Here is a 16,928-nt window from a genome sequence, read left to right as displayed (position 1 = left end):
TCTAAGTATACACCAGAGCCAAACAGGTGATATAAAAGTATGAACAGGGACAGATGTAAGGTAAGAGGCACTAAGTGGTTGTATTTTGACCAGCCATTACACTTGCCAAATTATAAAGCCTTATTACAACTTCAGGAGGTTCAAAAAAACAAAGCAAATATAGCAGGGCTCCTAGCAGTTTTCAGCCCCCAAACTGGCAATTTGAGACTTTAATAATCCTTACTAATTGCGAATTTACCCCATAAAAAATGCAGAAGAATAAAAAGACCAATAATTCTTTAACCTACTTTGCCTAAGAAACAATTTATTACTTTTGCTTTACTAATGATAAAATGAGGGAATCTGAATACCAGTAACTTTATGCTGTGCTTCCTTTTGAATAAGAAGCGTAAGTATACTGTCAGTGAAATTCACTAATAGAGAAAGTTCCAGCGGGACCAATCTATAGTTCTGCAAGCCTAGATTTTTCAAACATCTTTGAATATTGTATGGCCACCGTGTCTTTCTAACGTAATATTCATTATTTTTTATTTTTTTAAAAATGACAAATAATAATAGTACATATTCATGGAGTACATAGTGATGTGTCAATACATATAATATATACTGATCAGATCAGGGTAATCAGCATACCTATCATTTCAAACTTTTATCATTTCTTTGTGCTGGGACTATTCAATATCCTCCTTCTAGCCATTTGAAGCTATAGAATACATTATTTTTAACTATACTCATCCTACAGCACTATAGAACACTAGAACTTATTCCTCCTATCTAGCTGTAATTTTGCACCCTTCAAAGAAATATCTCCCTATTCCTCCCTTCCCCCTACCTTTACCAGCCTCTAGTATCCTCTGTTCTACTTTTTACTTCTATGCAATGAACTTTTTTTAACTTTCACAGATGAGTGAGAACATGTGGTGTTTAACTTTCTGTTCCTGGCTTATTTCACTTAACATAATGTACCCCATTTCCATCCATGTTGCAACAAATGACAGAATTTCATTCTTTCATATGGCTGAATAGTATTCCATTGTGATTATATATCACATTTTCTTTATCTATTCATCTGCTGTTGGGCACCTACGTTGAATCCATATCTTGGCTATTGTGAATAGTGCTGCAATAAACACAGGGGTGCAGTTGTTTCTTCAATATAATGATTTACTTTCCTTTGGATGAATTCCCAGTAGTGGAATTACTGGATCATATGGTTAGTTCTATTTTTCGTTTTTTGGGCAACCTCCATACTGCTCTCTATAGTGGCTGTACTAGTTTACATTAACAATGACAGTTTATAAGAGTTCCCTTTTCTCCACATTCTTGTCAGCATTTGTTACTTTTTGTCTTTTTGATAATAGCTATCTTAACTGGGATGAGATGATACCTCGTTGTGGTTTTGATTTGCATTTCCCCAATGATTAGTGATATTGAGCATTCGTTCATATATTTGTTAGCCATTTGTATGTCTTCTTTTGAGAAATGTCTGTTCAGATCATTTGCCCATTTTTTAATCACCTTGCTTTTTTGCTGTTGAACATATTAGATATGTAGACATGTATAGTATCTACATACTAATTATGTCAGCTTAGTAGTTTACGAATATGTTCTCCCCTTCTGGAGGTTGTCTTTTCACTCTGTTGATTGTTTCCTTTGCTGTGCAGAGATTTTTAGCTTGATATAATCTCATTTGTTTATTGTTGCTTTTGTTGCCTGTGCTTTTGAGGTCTTATTCATATAATATTTTCCCAGACCAATGTCCTGAACCATTTCCCTTATGTTTTCTTTTAGGAGTTTTATTGTTTCAGGTCTTACATTTAGGTCTAGAAATTAGAATTGCCCTGCCATTTACTATGTAGACTTGGGCCACTTACTTAGCTTATTTATGCCTCAGTTTTCCCACTTGCCAATTGAGAGAGTTGGATAAGATGATCCCTTTCCACTCTAAAATGGACACAATTCTATGATACTGTTTGAGTCATTAAATCGATATGGTTGACACTATTAAATATCCATACTATGCAATTTCAACTGAGCCCTCATTGCTGCTCAGTAATCCTTGTATGCACGTGTTAGTACATTTCTTCACAGTAATAAAGCCTCATCAATCTCCTCAAGTTCCCATCCCATCCTACTACCCACATTGGGCAAATGTGGATCCAAACTAATGAATACTTCAAGTAGACACAGACCAGCCATTAACAAATGGTTTGCAAGAAGCAAGTGTTATCATGATGATACCTTTTAAGACCGTTTTGGTAGAGCCACTTCATGAGCACTGATGATGAACATTGCCATTTGGAATGCAATGCCATTTCTGTATTTTGATTCATCTGTTATTTATTTCACATGCATCTGTTTGAAGACCAAAAGTTGGAAATATACATAAATGCCACAAATACCCACAAAAGTCAATAGTGTACCTATTGTGTTAATTAAATTCCACCCCCTTATTTGGCTCTTCTAAGAAATTGCTAAATGACCTAAGTGTTAAAATTAAATGGTTGGTCCTGACAGTAGGGCCATTTCACAGTAACAGTGAAATAGAATATGTTAAAATTAGAATAAGCTTAAAAAATAATTATACACTCTGACCAAGGTGGGAAATTCACTGAAATATCTGCCAAAGGAAAATGGAAAGTTCTAAGATACCAGATGTCTCTGTGGGTTCCAAATTTGGAATTCTCTGTCGCCTTTAAAATCTTCCTTCAGAAGTATCCAGCCTTACAATGCAAGTGGTTTGGCATATGGGTTGTTATTTTGCATTTCTAGACTCTGAGTCTGCCTTTTCAATCAGTATCTAAGCTATTTTACTCGGTTCTATGGTATCTTGGGGTATATGGCTTTTAAGAAAATGAAGCAAATTAAAAAAAAATGACTTGTTGTCTCCGCCTTCATTTCATTATAAAGATCTGCCAGACAAGACTTCAGGCCCAAGGAAGCATAACTGTTATCTTTCTTTCCTTTCTGGAGGTATTTTTGAGTGCTTCCTTTGTGGAGTAATAGGGGATACAGATGGGCCCTCCCCATATTACAAGAGCTTTAATTTTTAAAAATATTAAGTTAAATTTTTATAGTGGGCAATTTGGGCTCTTCCTCTATAGTCATATTTCTCTCTTCAACACTAGCCACTTTCTGAACCTCCCTATTGTGAACCAATTGACACCTGTATTGGATTTTAGATGATCAAGACAATGGGGCAATTTATTGTGACAATTACTCATTTAGCAATTATTGCTAAATTAAAGATGACTAAAAATGGGAGAAGAAAGAAAAATTAAACTCCACATAAAAAGACCTCTAATATTAAAAAAAAACTAAAAGAAGCAACTGTTTCAAAACTGAGAAATTAATTTCATTAACTTCATTTTTCTTCATCTTGGATTGCAGGAGTATTCAATATTGTTCATTATCTGTAACAACAATATTATTTTGAGGGTAAATTTCTGACTTGTAAACATCACCTAGTATGCTCAAACATGAACATAAATAACACCAGTTTATCTGCATTTTCAATTGTTTTCAAATCAGTTGTTAAGTGTAAATAAAGTCTAAATGAATAGTTGCATACCTTCCAACATATAAATTATGTAAAATGTCTAAAAACTACCCCCTTTCTTCTGTGAAGAAACTAGTACAAAAATTGAGTTTAAAACATACTAAAATACTATTCTAGAAATAGTGACACACCTTTGGTGAAAAATAACTTCCATAATGAAAAACCCATTCTGAAAGAACCATTATACACATTAGTTAAACATTTATGGGAGAGGTAGAACAGCCAGCAGCGTATTTAATAGCAGAAACAAGGGAACATAGATGCCATACATCACAAGCTATCCTCTGGCAGAGGCTTATGGGTCCAGAAATTAGAGAAGATAAGCAACAGACTTGTATCTCCTTTTATTTCGTACCCAGATAAAAGCAACCATAGTGGAGGGAAAAAAGGATAAAGGCATTTTTTTCTTTTTTCTTTTTTCTTTTTTTTTTCTCTTGAGATGGAATCTCACTCTGTTGCCCAGGTTGGAGTGCTGTGGTGCTATCTTGGCTCACTGTAACCTCTGCCTTCCAGGTCCAAACGATTCTCCTACCTCAGCCTCCCAAGTAGCTGGGACTACAGGCACCCACCACCACGCCAGGCTAATTTTGGTGTTTTTAGTAGAGATGGGGGTTTCGCCATGTTGGCCAGGCTGGTCTCAAATTCCTGACCTCAGGTGATCCACCCGCCTTGGCCTCCCAAAGTGCTGGGATTACAGGCGTGAGCCACGGTACTCAGCCCAATAAAGGCATATTTTGAAGCTGGAACCTCTTAGGTTTAAAATTTAAAAATAGCTGGAGAAGCACAGAAATATGAAGCTGTGAATTATATGTGACAAACCTTGGGATGGTAAGTTAGACCTAGTCACAAGAAATAAGCTGCCTTTCTCTATGAATCGATGATTGGGAGGTTTTTTGCTTGGAGGGCTAGAACCCAAGGTGAAGCAAGAGTCAGGTTCTGAGGATGCCCACTGCAGAGTCACAGGAGACTGAGGGAGATGTCATGGAAGTCACAGCCTGGGAAATTGGAAAACTTAATTGCGCAACAGCCTTTCCCGCTTTTCCTGCCAATGTTGTAGCGTGGAAGGGAGTCGATGTGCCCAGCCTGTAAAGATGACTCCTGGTTTGTCTAAGCAAATCATAGCAGCCCTATCCTTTGCTAGTTAATCATTTTTTGCCAGTATTCCAGGCAGCTATGAGAGTAGAGGAACATGTGACCCAATTCTTGCCTATGAGCCACAAAAGGAAGTCTAATAAGGATCTTCTGGGAAAGACTTGTTTTCCTAACACACACACAAAAGCCCTTTTCCTCCAGGTATTCACTGAATCAAACACGGTGGCCAGAGGCCGTAATGCTTCCTCAGTGCCACTTTGTAACTTGAAGACTAAAACATAAAAAAACTGAAGATGAGAGAGCAGAAAGATAGAAAAGTGCTGGTTCCTTGATATGAACTTTGGGTTTCTGTACCAAATCTAGAACCATCTACTCTAAGATTTCTCACTCTGTGAGAAGTGAGAAGTCCTTTATTTTAAAATTAAAAATCTTTATTTTAGAAGTCTCTGTTAGTTGAGAATTGTATTACTTGCTGCTGAATGAGTCTTACCTGATACAGACCTTGATTGTAAAACTACAATCATCCCATGATTTATGGAGGGTTATAGCCCACTTTGTCAGGGCTACCATGGAAAAGAGACAAACCAAGAGATTAGTTCTGCTGGTCAACAGAGAAGAGGGAAGCCATGCTCAGAGGTACATCTCTATGCTCTTTCTACCTCTAGTAATAAAGTTTCCCACAATCAAGTGTGAGAGGACACATGTTCTTCATTAATAGCAGTAATACTGGAGATAAAAAAAAAAAAAAAAACACACTGGTAAACAGTCAACCAACTCCTCAATCAGTTCTTTGTCTTGCCTATGACATTTTGTTTCATTTGGCATTCATATCAATAAGTTTATTAGAAACAGACACTTTACTTCCAAGAGACAACAGGGAATTCAGTGATGCATAGAAATTCATCAAATTTTGCTTTATGTGTATTTAACCTCAGATATGTTTATGGTTTTATTTAAATATGTGTTTATGTATATATATACACATGCACAGATTGTATTTAAAAATAGGAGTTAAATTTTAAATTCCCCTTAGATTCTAAATTTCTCAAACTCAGCAAGAGTCCACAGTGCAACACACTTACTGGGGAACTAATATCACTTGACAAAAAGAGAACTTTCAAAATTCAATAAATACTTGTTTCATGCAGCAGACACATTGTATTAGCTAGATCTTACATAACTTCTTACTCCTAAAGTCAGAATAACTTTTTGTGTTTCCCTAAATATCTGAAGAAGCAAATAAAAGGGTAATGTTAATAAAAATGTAATTATAAATGCAATAAAGATGTAATTATTTGCCTAACTTGAAGCTTCATTTTTATCATCCGTCCTCTATTCCTAGCTTTGATTGTGCTATTGATTTGGGATATAAATTTTCTTAGCTCTTCCTATCTCTGCAAAGTCTACACTAATCCCCAACGCTGGTCTTTATCTTTTGCTTTTATTATGAGCACAAAAAAATAGGCTGAAGCATCTCTTTTTAGAAGGAGAAAAAGTTATCACACTTGCATAACTCATGCAGTTGAAACAGCCTGAAATCAACAGTCCCCAGAAAAGCATCTTTGAAAAGACACTAAGCCTGAAAATCAGTAACTGCAAGAAGTACTTTGAAAAGACTAGTAAGGAAACACTCCTGCGAAACTGTACTGGAGAGATAAAAATACCTAGAATGAGAAGACATTCACTTTGCAAACTTACTTTATGGTTTTTAAAATTGTGTATGTCTGAGTTTGGGGTTTATAAAAAATCCCTAAAATTTTCTTAGGATTACAGATGTTTGAAGCTCCCAAATTTGTTATGCAACTCTTGGAAGGAAAATTAGATTTCCAGAATAGCTTTCTTACTGAACAAAACACTAGGATAATTATTCAGTTTGCAGAAGAAATAAGAAGGATTGTGTATATCTAAGTCCCCCCCCCCCAAAAAAGGGTAAAGGAAAGGTCTGGAGACAGGATCAAAATGCACAGTTAAAGAAGCGCCCATTACACTGGGTTTGGAGGAGCAGGGAGAGTAAACATGTAGATAATAGGAGGGGCCGAGGGGAAGAGGAGATTTAGGGAGACTGAATAAGACATTCCAAAGAGGGTTTTCTCTCTAACAAGAAGATGTCCTGACAAAGTTAGAACTTAGTTGTGTGTGTGTCTCTCTCCTTACACACTCACAACACACACACACACACACACACACACACACACAGAGGCATGGATAACCCTGTCCTATAAACCCTCTAGGATCTGGCCTGGGACAAAGATGGCCTTCCAGCATGTGTGTGGGCAGATAAGTGGAGCCAAGATTTGTGGACGTGAGTGTTCCTGAGAAAGCACGATTAGTCTCATGGGTTCCCCTGGGATAAGGCCTGGAGCATGTCACTGAATGTTGGCAGTTATCTCCTTTACATTCCCACACAACCCTCTCAAACCTGTGGGAATTTCATTTTCCCGTTTTCTCTCTTTCTTATCTGGAAAATATTGGGATATCTGTGTTCACTTCCTATGGCCTCTCTCATCCTGGGGCTGAGCTAGGTTTTGCTGCTCTTTCCTTTGGCACAGGCCTGTAAGGTATATCCTCATCTCTCCCTCCTTCCCTCTGCTGGTAGTTGTTTATGACACAGAGCTCCTTTTTATCTTCTTTGCTGAAAATAAGTAATGGCCTAAATTTTCATATGATGTCAATGAAATAGCATGTAAAGCTCTGAGCTCTCACCACCCAGAGTCTAGGACAATTTGGGTGGGCTCAGATATGAATACAAACCAGGTGAACTTCAATAGTTTCAGCTAATCTAAACAATGCCTGGTCCTTGGAGTTTTTGGGATGCTGGAATGGTCACTAGCTGTGGGCCAAGGTGCATCACTGAGTGCCCTTGGCCGAAACAAATTCTGCCTAACTTAAACACAGGAAATGTATTAGAAGAATATGGGAGCGAATTAATATATTCATAGAACTGACAGAAAGTCAGAGGTACAGGCTCTGTTCTGGACAGGAAAGGGAGTATGGAGGGCCGAGAAAGAGAAACTTTAGCAGTGGCTTCATATTATGGACATTCACGTCATCATACCACTGCTGCAATGAGTGAACGCCAAGGTCACTCCTGTGTTTAGTTCAATTACTGAAGATTCAAAAGACCAGTAAAGACCTTGCGACTGGTTGAACAGAGGTTGTATGCCTTCTTCAGAGTCTCTAGTCCCATTGAGCTCTCTGGTAAGAGGCACCCACCTAGACTCTTCTGCCCTGCAAAGCTACACAAATGAGAGAGAGATGGTGCCCCCAAAACATTACGATGCTGTTGAGAGTTGTAAAGGGATACTGGGCAGCCAAAAATTATACAGGCACACTACAGAAAGGTTCCTGTTTCCTAAAGTTGCACAGTGTCTGATACATGGTAGGTGTTTAATATATATTGTTGAATGTTGAATAAATAGAATAAGCCAGCCTCTGAGAGGTGCTGATGAAAAATGATCCTGAACCAGATCATCCAAGCAATTATTAATTCTCAGAATCAATCCTGCCTGGAGCTCAGTCTGAAGGGATGACAAATTGATCCCTGATGGCAGGAAGGTGTTGGGCAGAATGTGGATTAAAGGAAAAAGTGGAGACCAATTCCCTTCTCTCTGTATGTGTCTCTTTCCCCCTTTCTCTGTCTCTCTCTCTCTCTCTTTCTGTCTCACTCTGTCATATCCTACTTTAATTACCTGCTTTTAAGACAGAAAAGAGTGTAAGTGTGATTTACTATGGATTATTACAATATCACAGGGATTAAAAAAAGATCATAGCACAATTAGTGCAGAAGAGCTGAGAAGAATTATTCACATACTTAAAACATCCATTTGGGGGACTGGCTTTTCAATAAGTATTTCTATAAATGTTGAAACAAATGGTTGAATGAAATTTTGTCAACAAGAATCAATACTAGTCATCTTTGATTCCTAAGCAATGCTATAATCACCACTAATAATGGGTGAAGAAAACAAAAGTGAAAAATGCAATTATAATTATTGCATTTCAATTATCTTTAATGGTAATAAATGTTTAATTCTAACATAATTTAGAGAATTATTTTGACCCTTACTATGATCAAAATTGACCCATCTATAAGCAACTGATGAAAATGAATAATAGAAATTGGAAACTTGAATATAAATTTCTTAAAACTTCAGAATATACAATGTCACCATATGGCTATATGTATCTTCTGTCTCCTTCAGAACTAAACTCACCTGTTCACTCAGCTTTTATAGTCCTTATTTCAATTCCATTCAACAAGATTTATTGAGTGACATTTGGAACAGGGTGCTATGTTAGGCAGAACAAGACACACCAGGGAGAATAAGAGAAATTCTCTGTCCTGCAAGAGCTTATGATCTGATAGGGTGGATGAGGCAAGTACAATGATACAAGGCAAATGAGTGAGATACAAAGTTGTCTTCAACTGTATAAAGGACAACTCTGTATAAAAGGAGAGAATATGTTTTCAAAATTGGCCAGTCTGCCATGATATATACAAACCTATCCATTGGCCAGTTGGTTGGGAAATACCTGTAATTAGAAGCAATTTGGTCATTGTCCCTGAGAAAATTCTGGTTTTATATCTCTGTAAAGTTGAAGAAAATAATACTACAGTCTCTCTGTTGCACAGGCTTATTCTCTGGATGAGTTGTGTAATATTTTAAAAGGCTCAACTTTCAGGGGGGATGTTACTAAAATGAAATTTGATTAGCCAGTCTAACCCTTTAGGGTAATTAAAAATGTTATGAGTGTTTGTATTTAAAAATCATCATTGGATTGGGACTACTAACCTATATTCTCCATAAACTTTGTAAAGTACACTGTAACCATAAATAAAATAGAGTTTTCTCCCAGATGCAGAATAAATGAGCAGAATTTGTGGTACACATAAAGGCTGGCCCATGCCCTGAGTGACCTCTGGTCTCCTTCAGATGCAGAAAAGGAATATTAACCTGAAGAATTACTAAGTGTCTTGGAAATGAAGACTACTACATCTTAGTATATCAATGTTGATTAAAAGAGTTGGTTTGGGGTCGATGACAAGAATTCGATAGTTAAATAGAAGTTGATTGAAAGAAATTGGAAGGAAGAAAATAAAAGAAAAACAATCAAGGGAGTTATGACAACAGGCGGGTAGTGTAGGGGATGTGATAGCCATCTTCAAATGTATAAAAGGCAGTTATGATCCTAGAAGGCAGAACTTGGACAAAGAATATCTGGAGATAAGAAGATGTAATTTTGGTTAGCTAGAAGAAAACACTTCTAGCCATTATAATTTCACAAATTAGAGTGTGCTATCTTAGATAGTAATAGTTGTCCATCACTATCAGTGCTCAAATTGAGTCTGAGCAACATCATCTTTATTATTTTCTTTACCATCATCATTACCGTCATCACCATTGTCATCATCAACCATTTATTGAATATCTCACCATTTGTCAGGCCCCATACTAAGTGCTTTACATGCATTATCTCATGTGATCCTCATCACAACCTTATGTGGCATATTATTATTTACATTTTAGAGGGAAGAACCTGGGGCATGGAGAATATAAATAATTTTCCCAAGGTCACACAGGTAGTAAGTAGCTAAACAGGGATTTAAGTTCAATTCTGACTCCCAAGTCTATTTTATTATACATTCTTTCATTGGAGATGGTGTTTAAAAGATTTAAGTACGTCTTTATTTTTTAAGGGACAGGTAAAATCAACTACCTTTTTTTTTTTTTTTTTTTTGAGACGGAGTCTCGCTGTCGCCCAGGCTGGAGTGCAGTGGCGCAATCTCGGCTCACTGCACACTCCGCCCCCCGGGGTTCACGCCATTCTCCTGCCTCAGCCTCCCGAGTAGCTGGGACTACAGGCGCCCGCCACCTTGCCCGGCTAATTTTTTGTATTTTTAGTAGGGACGGGGTTTCACCGTGTTAGCCAGGATGGTCTTGATCTCCTGACCTTATGATCCGCCCGCCTCGGCCTCCCAAAGTGCTGGGATTACAGGCGTGAGCCACAGCGCCCGGCCAAAATCAACTATCTTATATTGTTGATGTTTATCTTTTCAAACCTGGAGCTTCTACAACTCTACGAATATAAAGCAAAGATAAATTAAATGATGTGTAACTGCTACTGAGCTAGTTACTGATAGAACTGTGTCTAGAACCTACTTCAAGGATCTCAACCAGTCTAGTGCTCTTTTCACAATATCATTCTGCCTTCCAAGTACAGGTTAAGTGTAGAGAGAAGAAAAGAGTAAACACAGGAAATTCTCTCCAGCCGATGCTGACAACAAACAGAACTAACAGAAAGGGCATTTTCTGCCAATGGTAGAAAAGCAAATGTAGCCAATAGCTTTGTGTTTCACAGGTTTATAAGAAAACTCCTTAAAGCCGGAGAAGAGTTGAGATGCTGAAAGCAAAAGACATATATGCTAGCTCCAACACACATTCAGTTCCTCTGAACAATAAGGAAGCTTATATGGTAAGGGTTATATAATAATTCTTCTCTGGACTTGTAAAACTCTTTATTATATCATCTGGCCTATGCCAAACATCCTTATAGAAATAAGGATTGTTTCTATAAGAAATTCTGCAAGTTTTCCAAATTCTTTTTGAAGTTGAAGTATTTTTCTACGGTTCTACTAGCTCGTTCTTCATAATAACTATTACAGTAAACTCGAAATATGCTATTAGCCTATGCTTATTTTATTTTTATTTATTTATTGAGATGGAGTCTTGCTCTGTCACCCAGGCTGGAATGCAATGGTGCAATCTCGGCTCACTGCAACCTCTGCCTCTTGGGTTCAAGAGATTCTCCTGCCTCAGCCTCTCAAGTAGCTGGGATTACAGGTGCGTGTCACTATGCCGAGATAATTTTTCTATTTTTAGTAGAGACAGGGTTTCAACCTGTAGGTCAGGCTGGTCTCGAACTCCTGACCGCAAGTGATCCGCCCGCCTCAGCCTCCCAAAGTGCTGGGATTACAGGCATAAGCCACCACATCCAGCCAGCCTATGCTCATTTTATTAGTGAGGACACTGAGGCCTATGAAGGTGACTGGAATGGCTCAGGGTCACATAGCTGGTGCATGGCCCAGCTGGGATACTGTAGATGTGCTGACTCACAGAGCAATGCTCTTTCTCTGATTCCACATTGACTCTCTTCTCTAGATTACAGGACACGATAATACAGAAAACTTCAAAAGCAATTTTATACTTAGCCATTTGTATGCCTTATACTTCCTTTATGTACTACTTAATTTTTCAAAACAAAAAATCTGGCTTAGAGTATAAGAAATATCACATTTAATCCAACCAAGTAGCAATGTTATGCTTCAAATTTATATCTATTTAAAGTAACCAAATGGTAAAAAAATATATACATATATATACATATTTGGAGACCATTATATATGTAGTTTAATTTACATGTTCATTTAGGAAAAGAAAAGATCACTAGAAATAAAGCACTGAGTAGACTACATTTACAAGGAAATGAGAATAGATATATTAATAATGTTAACGTAATTCAGAGGCATATCCTAGTGGAACATTGTTTTCAACTTGATTTTTTATTTTGTTTAATGTCCATTTTTCATTATACCAATAACTGTGAGTGAAGAAAGTGATTTTCTCAAGAGCAATGAGATAGAGATCATGTACACCAGTAGATCACCCAGCTTTGTAGAGCTTAGGATAAGAGCAAACAAACAGATTTAGTAATGACATCAGGAAAGTTAATATTGAGGGTCTGAAAGGCTATCATCATCTCTTAACTGAGATCAGGTAATCCAGACTCCCTAAGAAGGCAGAGTAGTAAGAAGAAGAAAAATCTGGCTTATGTCAATTGGAGAGGGCAGGTTAAAACCCTCTTTTTTCAATCTATTTATTGCTTGAGCACAGTAGCAACTCCAGAGGGACAATCTCCCTACCCATCTTAAATTGTTAAAGCAAGCATACTGAAAGGAAGGAAGCAACTTTGGATTCTTTCTTTTATCAACAGGAAATATACTTCTCGATCATAAAACTATGGACCACAAACGCTTGGCTTTCAGAGCAAAACTGTGGGGGAAAAAAATCTGCTTCCATGCAAAAAAAAGTCTATTTAACAGTTTAGGAATAAAAAACCCATAACAAATTTTAAAATGTGGGTAACAGATTGTTAAGGGTTAAAGGCTAATTCTAATATAGTGGACATTTGCTTTCTTGAGGGTAAGAAAGGAGATGGAATATAATGGACAACCTTGGGACATTCTAACCAATGGAGTGAAGGCTGGGTTACCAAGGTGACATTACAATACATGTTCTAGCAAGCTGGATCAAACCAGTAGGGAAGAGGTAATTTAAAATGAAATATTGGAAAAATACCACTTAACATTGTCATAATTGTATGTATGGAGCCCTTTCCCCCTTTAAAATAAAATACTCCAAGAAGAAAATGTATAAAATCTAACAAAGAGCAAGAACATATGTACATCCCAGAATCATACATTAGGCTGCGAGATAACAAATTCTTAAAAGTATACACTATCTCTATCTTAAAGATGGGGAAATGAAGTCTGCTTGGAGTTAACTTTCTCAAGTTTACACAATTAAAAAGCAGTAGAAATCATTTGACCCAGCTCTCTGATCCAGTGTCTGTACTCTTCCCACTGAGATGATTGCACCTAGACCTGGGGCTGGAAAATGGTTGAGGCCAAGTGGGCACCTGTGTGAATGGAAACCCCCCTATTTGTTTCAATGGCTGCTGCTCAGTCCCAACAATTGTGTTTTTAAGCCATCTTTGCTGATGCTGCCATGGTTGGGTATATAGACCGAGTAGCTCAAGAGAAGGATCTGAGCTCCAATAACAGACTTGGAAGTCATCTGCCTATAAATGGTGGGTTATGCTATGGGTTTGCGGTATGCTAGAGACGATTAGATCTCTAAAGATCGAATACGATCTTGGGAAACATGGTTACTTAAGAGGTTTAAAAATGGAGAAATGCCAAGGGAAAAAAATCTTAGTTTCCAAGAAGAAAACCAAGAAGGAAATATCTGAATGGCTGGAGGAAAACCAGGAGAAGTTGGTTTTATAGCAGTCCAGGGAAAAGACAACTTCAAGAAAAAGGGAGCTGTCGACTCTGTAAAATATTACAGAAAGGTCAAATATAGCTGTATAATATTTATAGGATAAAGCCCAAGCTTAGAAACAGTTCTAAACCTTATATAAAGGACTCTAGATTATATGACTTTAATAAATCCAGAGGTGGAAAGAAGCTCAAGCAAGGACTTTCTCATCCTAATTCTTATAAACTACCATATCCCTGGGTCAGGACCCAATTTCTGCAAACAGGAAATGAGACCACACAGGTCTATTGAGCTTCCATATATTATATAGTCGAAGAATTCCAGCCCTCCTCAAACCTTTCCTCAATTGGCTTATGAAGCCCCTACAGGGTATCTCACCTGAGCTGTCCAAAACTATCCTTCACCTGTGATGGCATGTCATTTTCCCCCTCCCTTCACCCACATTTCTATGGGAATATCTGATATTGAGCACTTACTGTGTGCCAACTACTTCACGTGCCTTTTTTTTTTTTTTTTTTTTTTTGAGACAGAGTCTCGCTCTGTCCCCCAGGCTGGAGTGCTGTGGCGCGATCTCGGCTCACTGCAAGCTCCACCTCCCGGGTTCAAGCCATTCTCCCGCCTCAGCCTCCTGAGTAGCTGGGACTACAGGCGCCCACCACCACACCTGGCTAATTTTGTTTTTTTGTATTTTTAGTAGAGACGGGGTTTCACCGTGTTAGCCAGCATAGTCTCAATCTCCTGACCTGGTGATCCGCCTGCCTCGGCCTCCCAAAGTGCTGGGATGACAGGCGTGACACATGCCTTATTTTTAATCCTCAGAGCAACTGAGGTTCAGAGAGGCAAAGGAAGTTGCCCCATGGCCACTACATGAGAAAGCAGATCCAGAATTCCAGTCCAGCCTGAGCTCTTCACCACTGCACTGTGTACTTGGAAGCCTCCGTCACAACACACCACTGCCACCTCTATTCCCAGTGAAGGGATGGCACAAATACTAGAAACATTGTGTGTGGCCTCCCTGCTCTAGTGCCGGAAGATACTACTATATTCTTCTTCTCAATGTAGATGTAGGCTAACAAGCATCCATTGTAAAGATATTGCTTCATTCATGAATCATAACTGTAAGAGGCACTCTCACTACCCATTAATGGCATTAATGCAGGTACAATTTTCAAAGACTCCCCTATCATTTGATGAAATATGGCCCTGGCAAGTGAGTCAGCCCCACTGGGCCCATGGGCTTGTCTAGACATATCTGAATTCAAAAGAGAACACAACTTAGACCCAAACTAAAAATCTCTAAACATGTAAATCTGCTTGAAACTAGTTTGATGGTTTGAAAATGCGAGTTGCAAAGAAACCTGAACTTTAAGAAAGAGAAACAACAACTGTAAGTCAAACAGGAGGACTAGGAACTACTACAGAGAATACAGGTCCTCAGCTTCAGACAGTCAGGCTGGGAAAAATGGAAAAAGATCTTTCTTTCAGAGAGAGGTTTGACAGCATTAAATACTCAAAGGACATTTTCCACAGGGAATTGGCTAAAGGGCTAATTTCAGGTGACCTTTAAGTAAAAGGAAAAGATAAGAAAACCTTTCTCAGCATAAAGCTTCAGCTAATCAGAGTTTTCAACTTAGGTTACGAAGATTCCCTTGTTTTCTCTAATAAGAAGAGTTAGGTAACTGACCTAGTCTTACTTTTACTTTAGCTGCTCAAAAGTTTGGTGCCAAATTTAAGGTTTAATTATGGCAACAACAACTAACAATTTGGGTCTTAATTATTTACATATTTCTTTTTCCCCTTCTAGAAAATGTATATTTACCCTATTCTGAAATTTTTATTTGTGTTAACATTTAACCATCTTACTATATGTAAACTTTTAGGAAATTTTCTTTGTAGACAAATAATGGTGGAAGACAGATGGATAGATGAGAGATGATAGATAGATAGATAGATAGGAGAGAGAGAGAGATGATAGCTACATGATAGATAGGTAGATGACTGACAGGTCATTGACAGATATGAAAGAAGAAGAAGAAGTTTGTTGGGATTTAATAAATATGTGATTTTAAAAAGTTAAAGGAACCAAAGATGAGGTTCTCTAGCTTTGGTGGCTGGATTGAGATTTAAAATATAGTATATCTTTAAAAGCAGGAAAGAATGATGAGTTCAGTTTGTATATGTTGAGTCTGGGAGACCTGGAGCTATCCAGGAGGTAGTTCAATATTGAGTCTAAAGCTTGGAGAAAAGTTTTGAGCTGGAGATACACATATTTTTTTGCAGCAGCCATATAAAGAAAGTGTTTTAACATGACAATAAAAGCAGTCACTCAGGGAGAATATCCTCTCTTCCTGGATTTGGCTGTAATAAGAATAGAAACAATTCAAGGACGGAGTTTCCATAAACACCAGCACTGAAAGGAAAACAATATAGGAAACAGGCAAAAGGTTCTGAGTGGAACGAGGAAAGAGCAGCATTTAAAAAATAAAGGGACCAGGATGTTGAATGAAGCAGAGAGGCACAGTAAGAAAATACAGAAAAGCCTGAGCAGTTAGAAGAATTCCTGTGGCCTTATGAGGAGCAGTTTCAGTACCATGTTGGGAGCAGCAGCCTCTGTTTTGAGAAATACAGATGAGAAGAAAGGAAGATGCAGAAGGCAGAAAGCTGCACAGAAATCTTAGGGGATTTGAAGGGAAAGTTATAAACAGAAAAGGCTTGTGTTTTACTTTCTGGTTGGAGGTGTGAGTGGAGATCTTGTGGACAAGGGATTAGAAGGGTCTGAGGAAGGTAACTAGCTGTTCAAGTCAAGGGTAGTTCACACAGAGCACCACATACTCCATTATGGCACAGAGTAACACAGAGCACCGCATACTCCAGCATGGTGTAAAGTAATTGGCTGAGGGTTCCCTGTCTCTGAACCCCCAATGAGTACATAGAGGTGCTAAGAGAACCACTGAACCAGAAGTGGGTTTTAGGTAGGGATGAGAAGGCCACAGCATGCAAGGAATTTGTGGTGGGTGCCTCTAACTTATATGAATACCAGGACACACTCCCCAAAGCATCAAGCAGGATTAGCTACACCCCAGCCAACGCCAATGCCTAGGGTAAGATCAGCTTAGCCCACTGCATTCAAAACCAGCAATGGTCCAGGTAGATTCAGACCAGGAACCTCTGCCTCAGTGCTAAGAGGTCTATTAGCATCTCTTGTACTTTCTCTTGAG

General features: G+C 38.2%; 1 long non-coding RNA gene across 6 annotated transcripts in view, besides 2 other annotated features; it reads left to right on the top strand.

The window, feature by feature from the left end:
- LINC02464 (long intergenic non-protein coding RNA 2464) overlaps positions 1-16,928 on the top strand; it is a 97,632-nt gene that overhangs the window by 62,568 nt on the left and 18,136 nt on the right. For 2 of the 6 annotated variants that reach the window (NR_187542.1, NR_187544.1), the window contains exon 3: positions 11,012-11,125. The exons of the other annotated variants lie outside the window; for them this stretch is intronic. This is a non-coding gene — a long non-coding RNA (long intergenic non-protein coding RNA 2464). The remainder of the gene's footprint in view (positions 1-11,011; positions 11,126-16,928) is intronic. 6 annotated transcript variants of the gene reach the window in all.
- Positions 14,457-14,958: an enhancer, noted in NCBI's record as "H3K27ac hESC enhancer chr12:77633489-77633990 (GRCh37/hg19 assembly coordinates)". NCBI's record gives its function as "activates a minimal SCP1, AML or CMV promoter by ChIP-STARR-seq in primed H9 embryonic stem cells {active_cell/tissue: H9 hESC(primed)}" and the evidence as "EXISTENCE:reporter gene assay evidence [ECO:0000049][PMID:30033119]".
- Positions 16,161-16,662: an enhancer, noted in NCBI's record as "H3K27ac-H3K4me1 hESC enhancer chr12:77631785-77632286 (GRCh37/hg19 assembly coordinates)". NCBI's record gives its function as "activates a minimal SCP1, AML or CMV promoter by ChIP-STARR-seq in primed H9 embryonic stem cells {active_cell/tissue: H9 hESC(primed)}" and the evidence as "EXISTENCE:reporter gene assay evidence [ECO:0000049][PMID:30033119]".

Source organism: Homo sapiens, chromosome 12 (genome assembly GCF_000001405.40).
Source record: "Homo sapiens chromosome 12, GRCh38.p14 Primary Assembly".
Lineage (NCBI taxonomy): Eukaryota > Metazoa > Chordata > Mammalia > Primates > Hominidae > Homo > Homo sapiens.
Note: the sequence above shows the minus strand (reverse complement) of the source record. Positions and strands in the feature narration are given on the sequence as shown.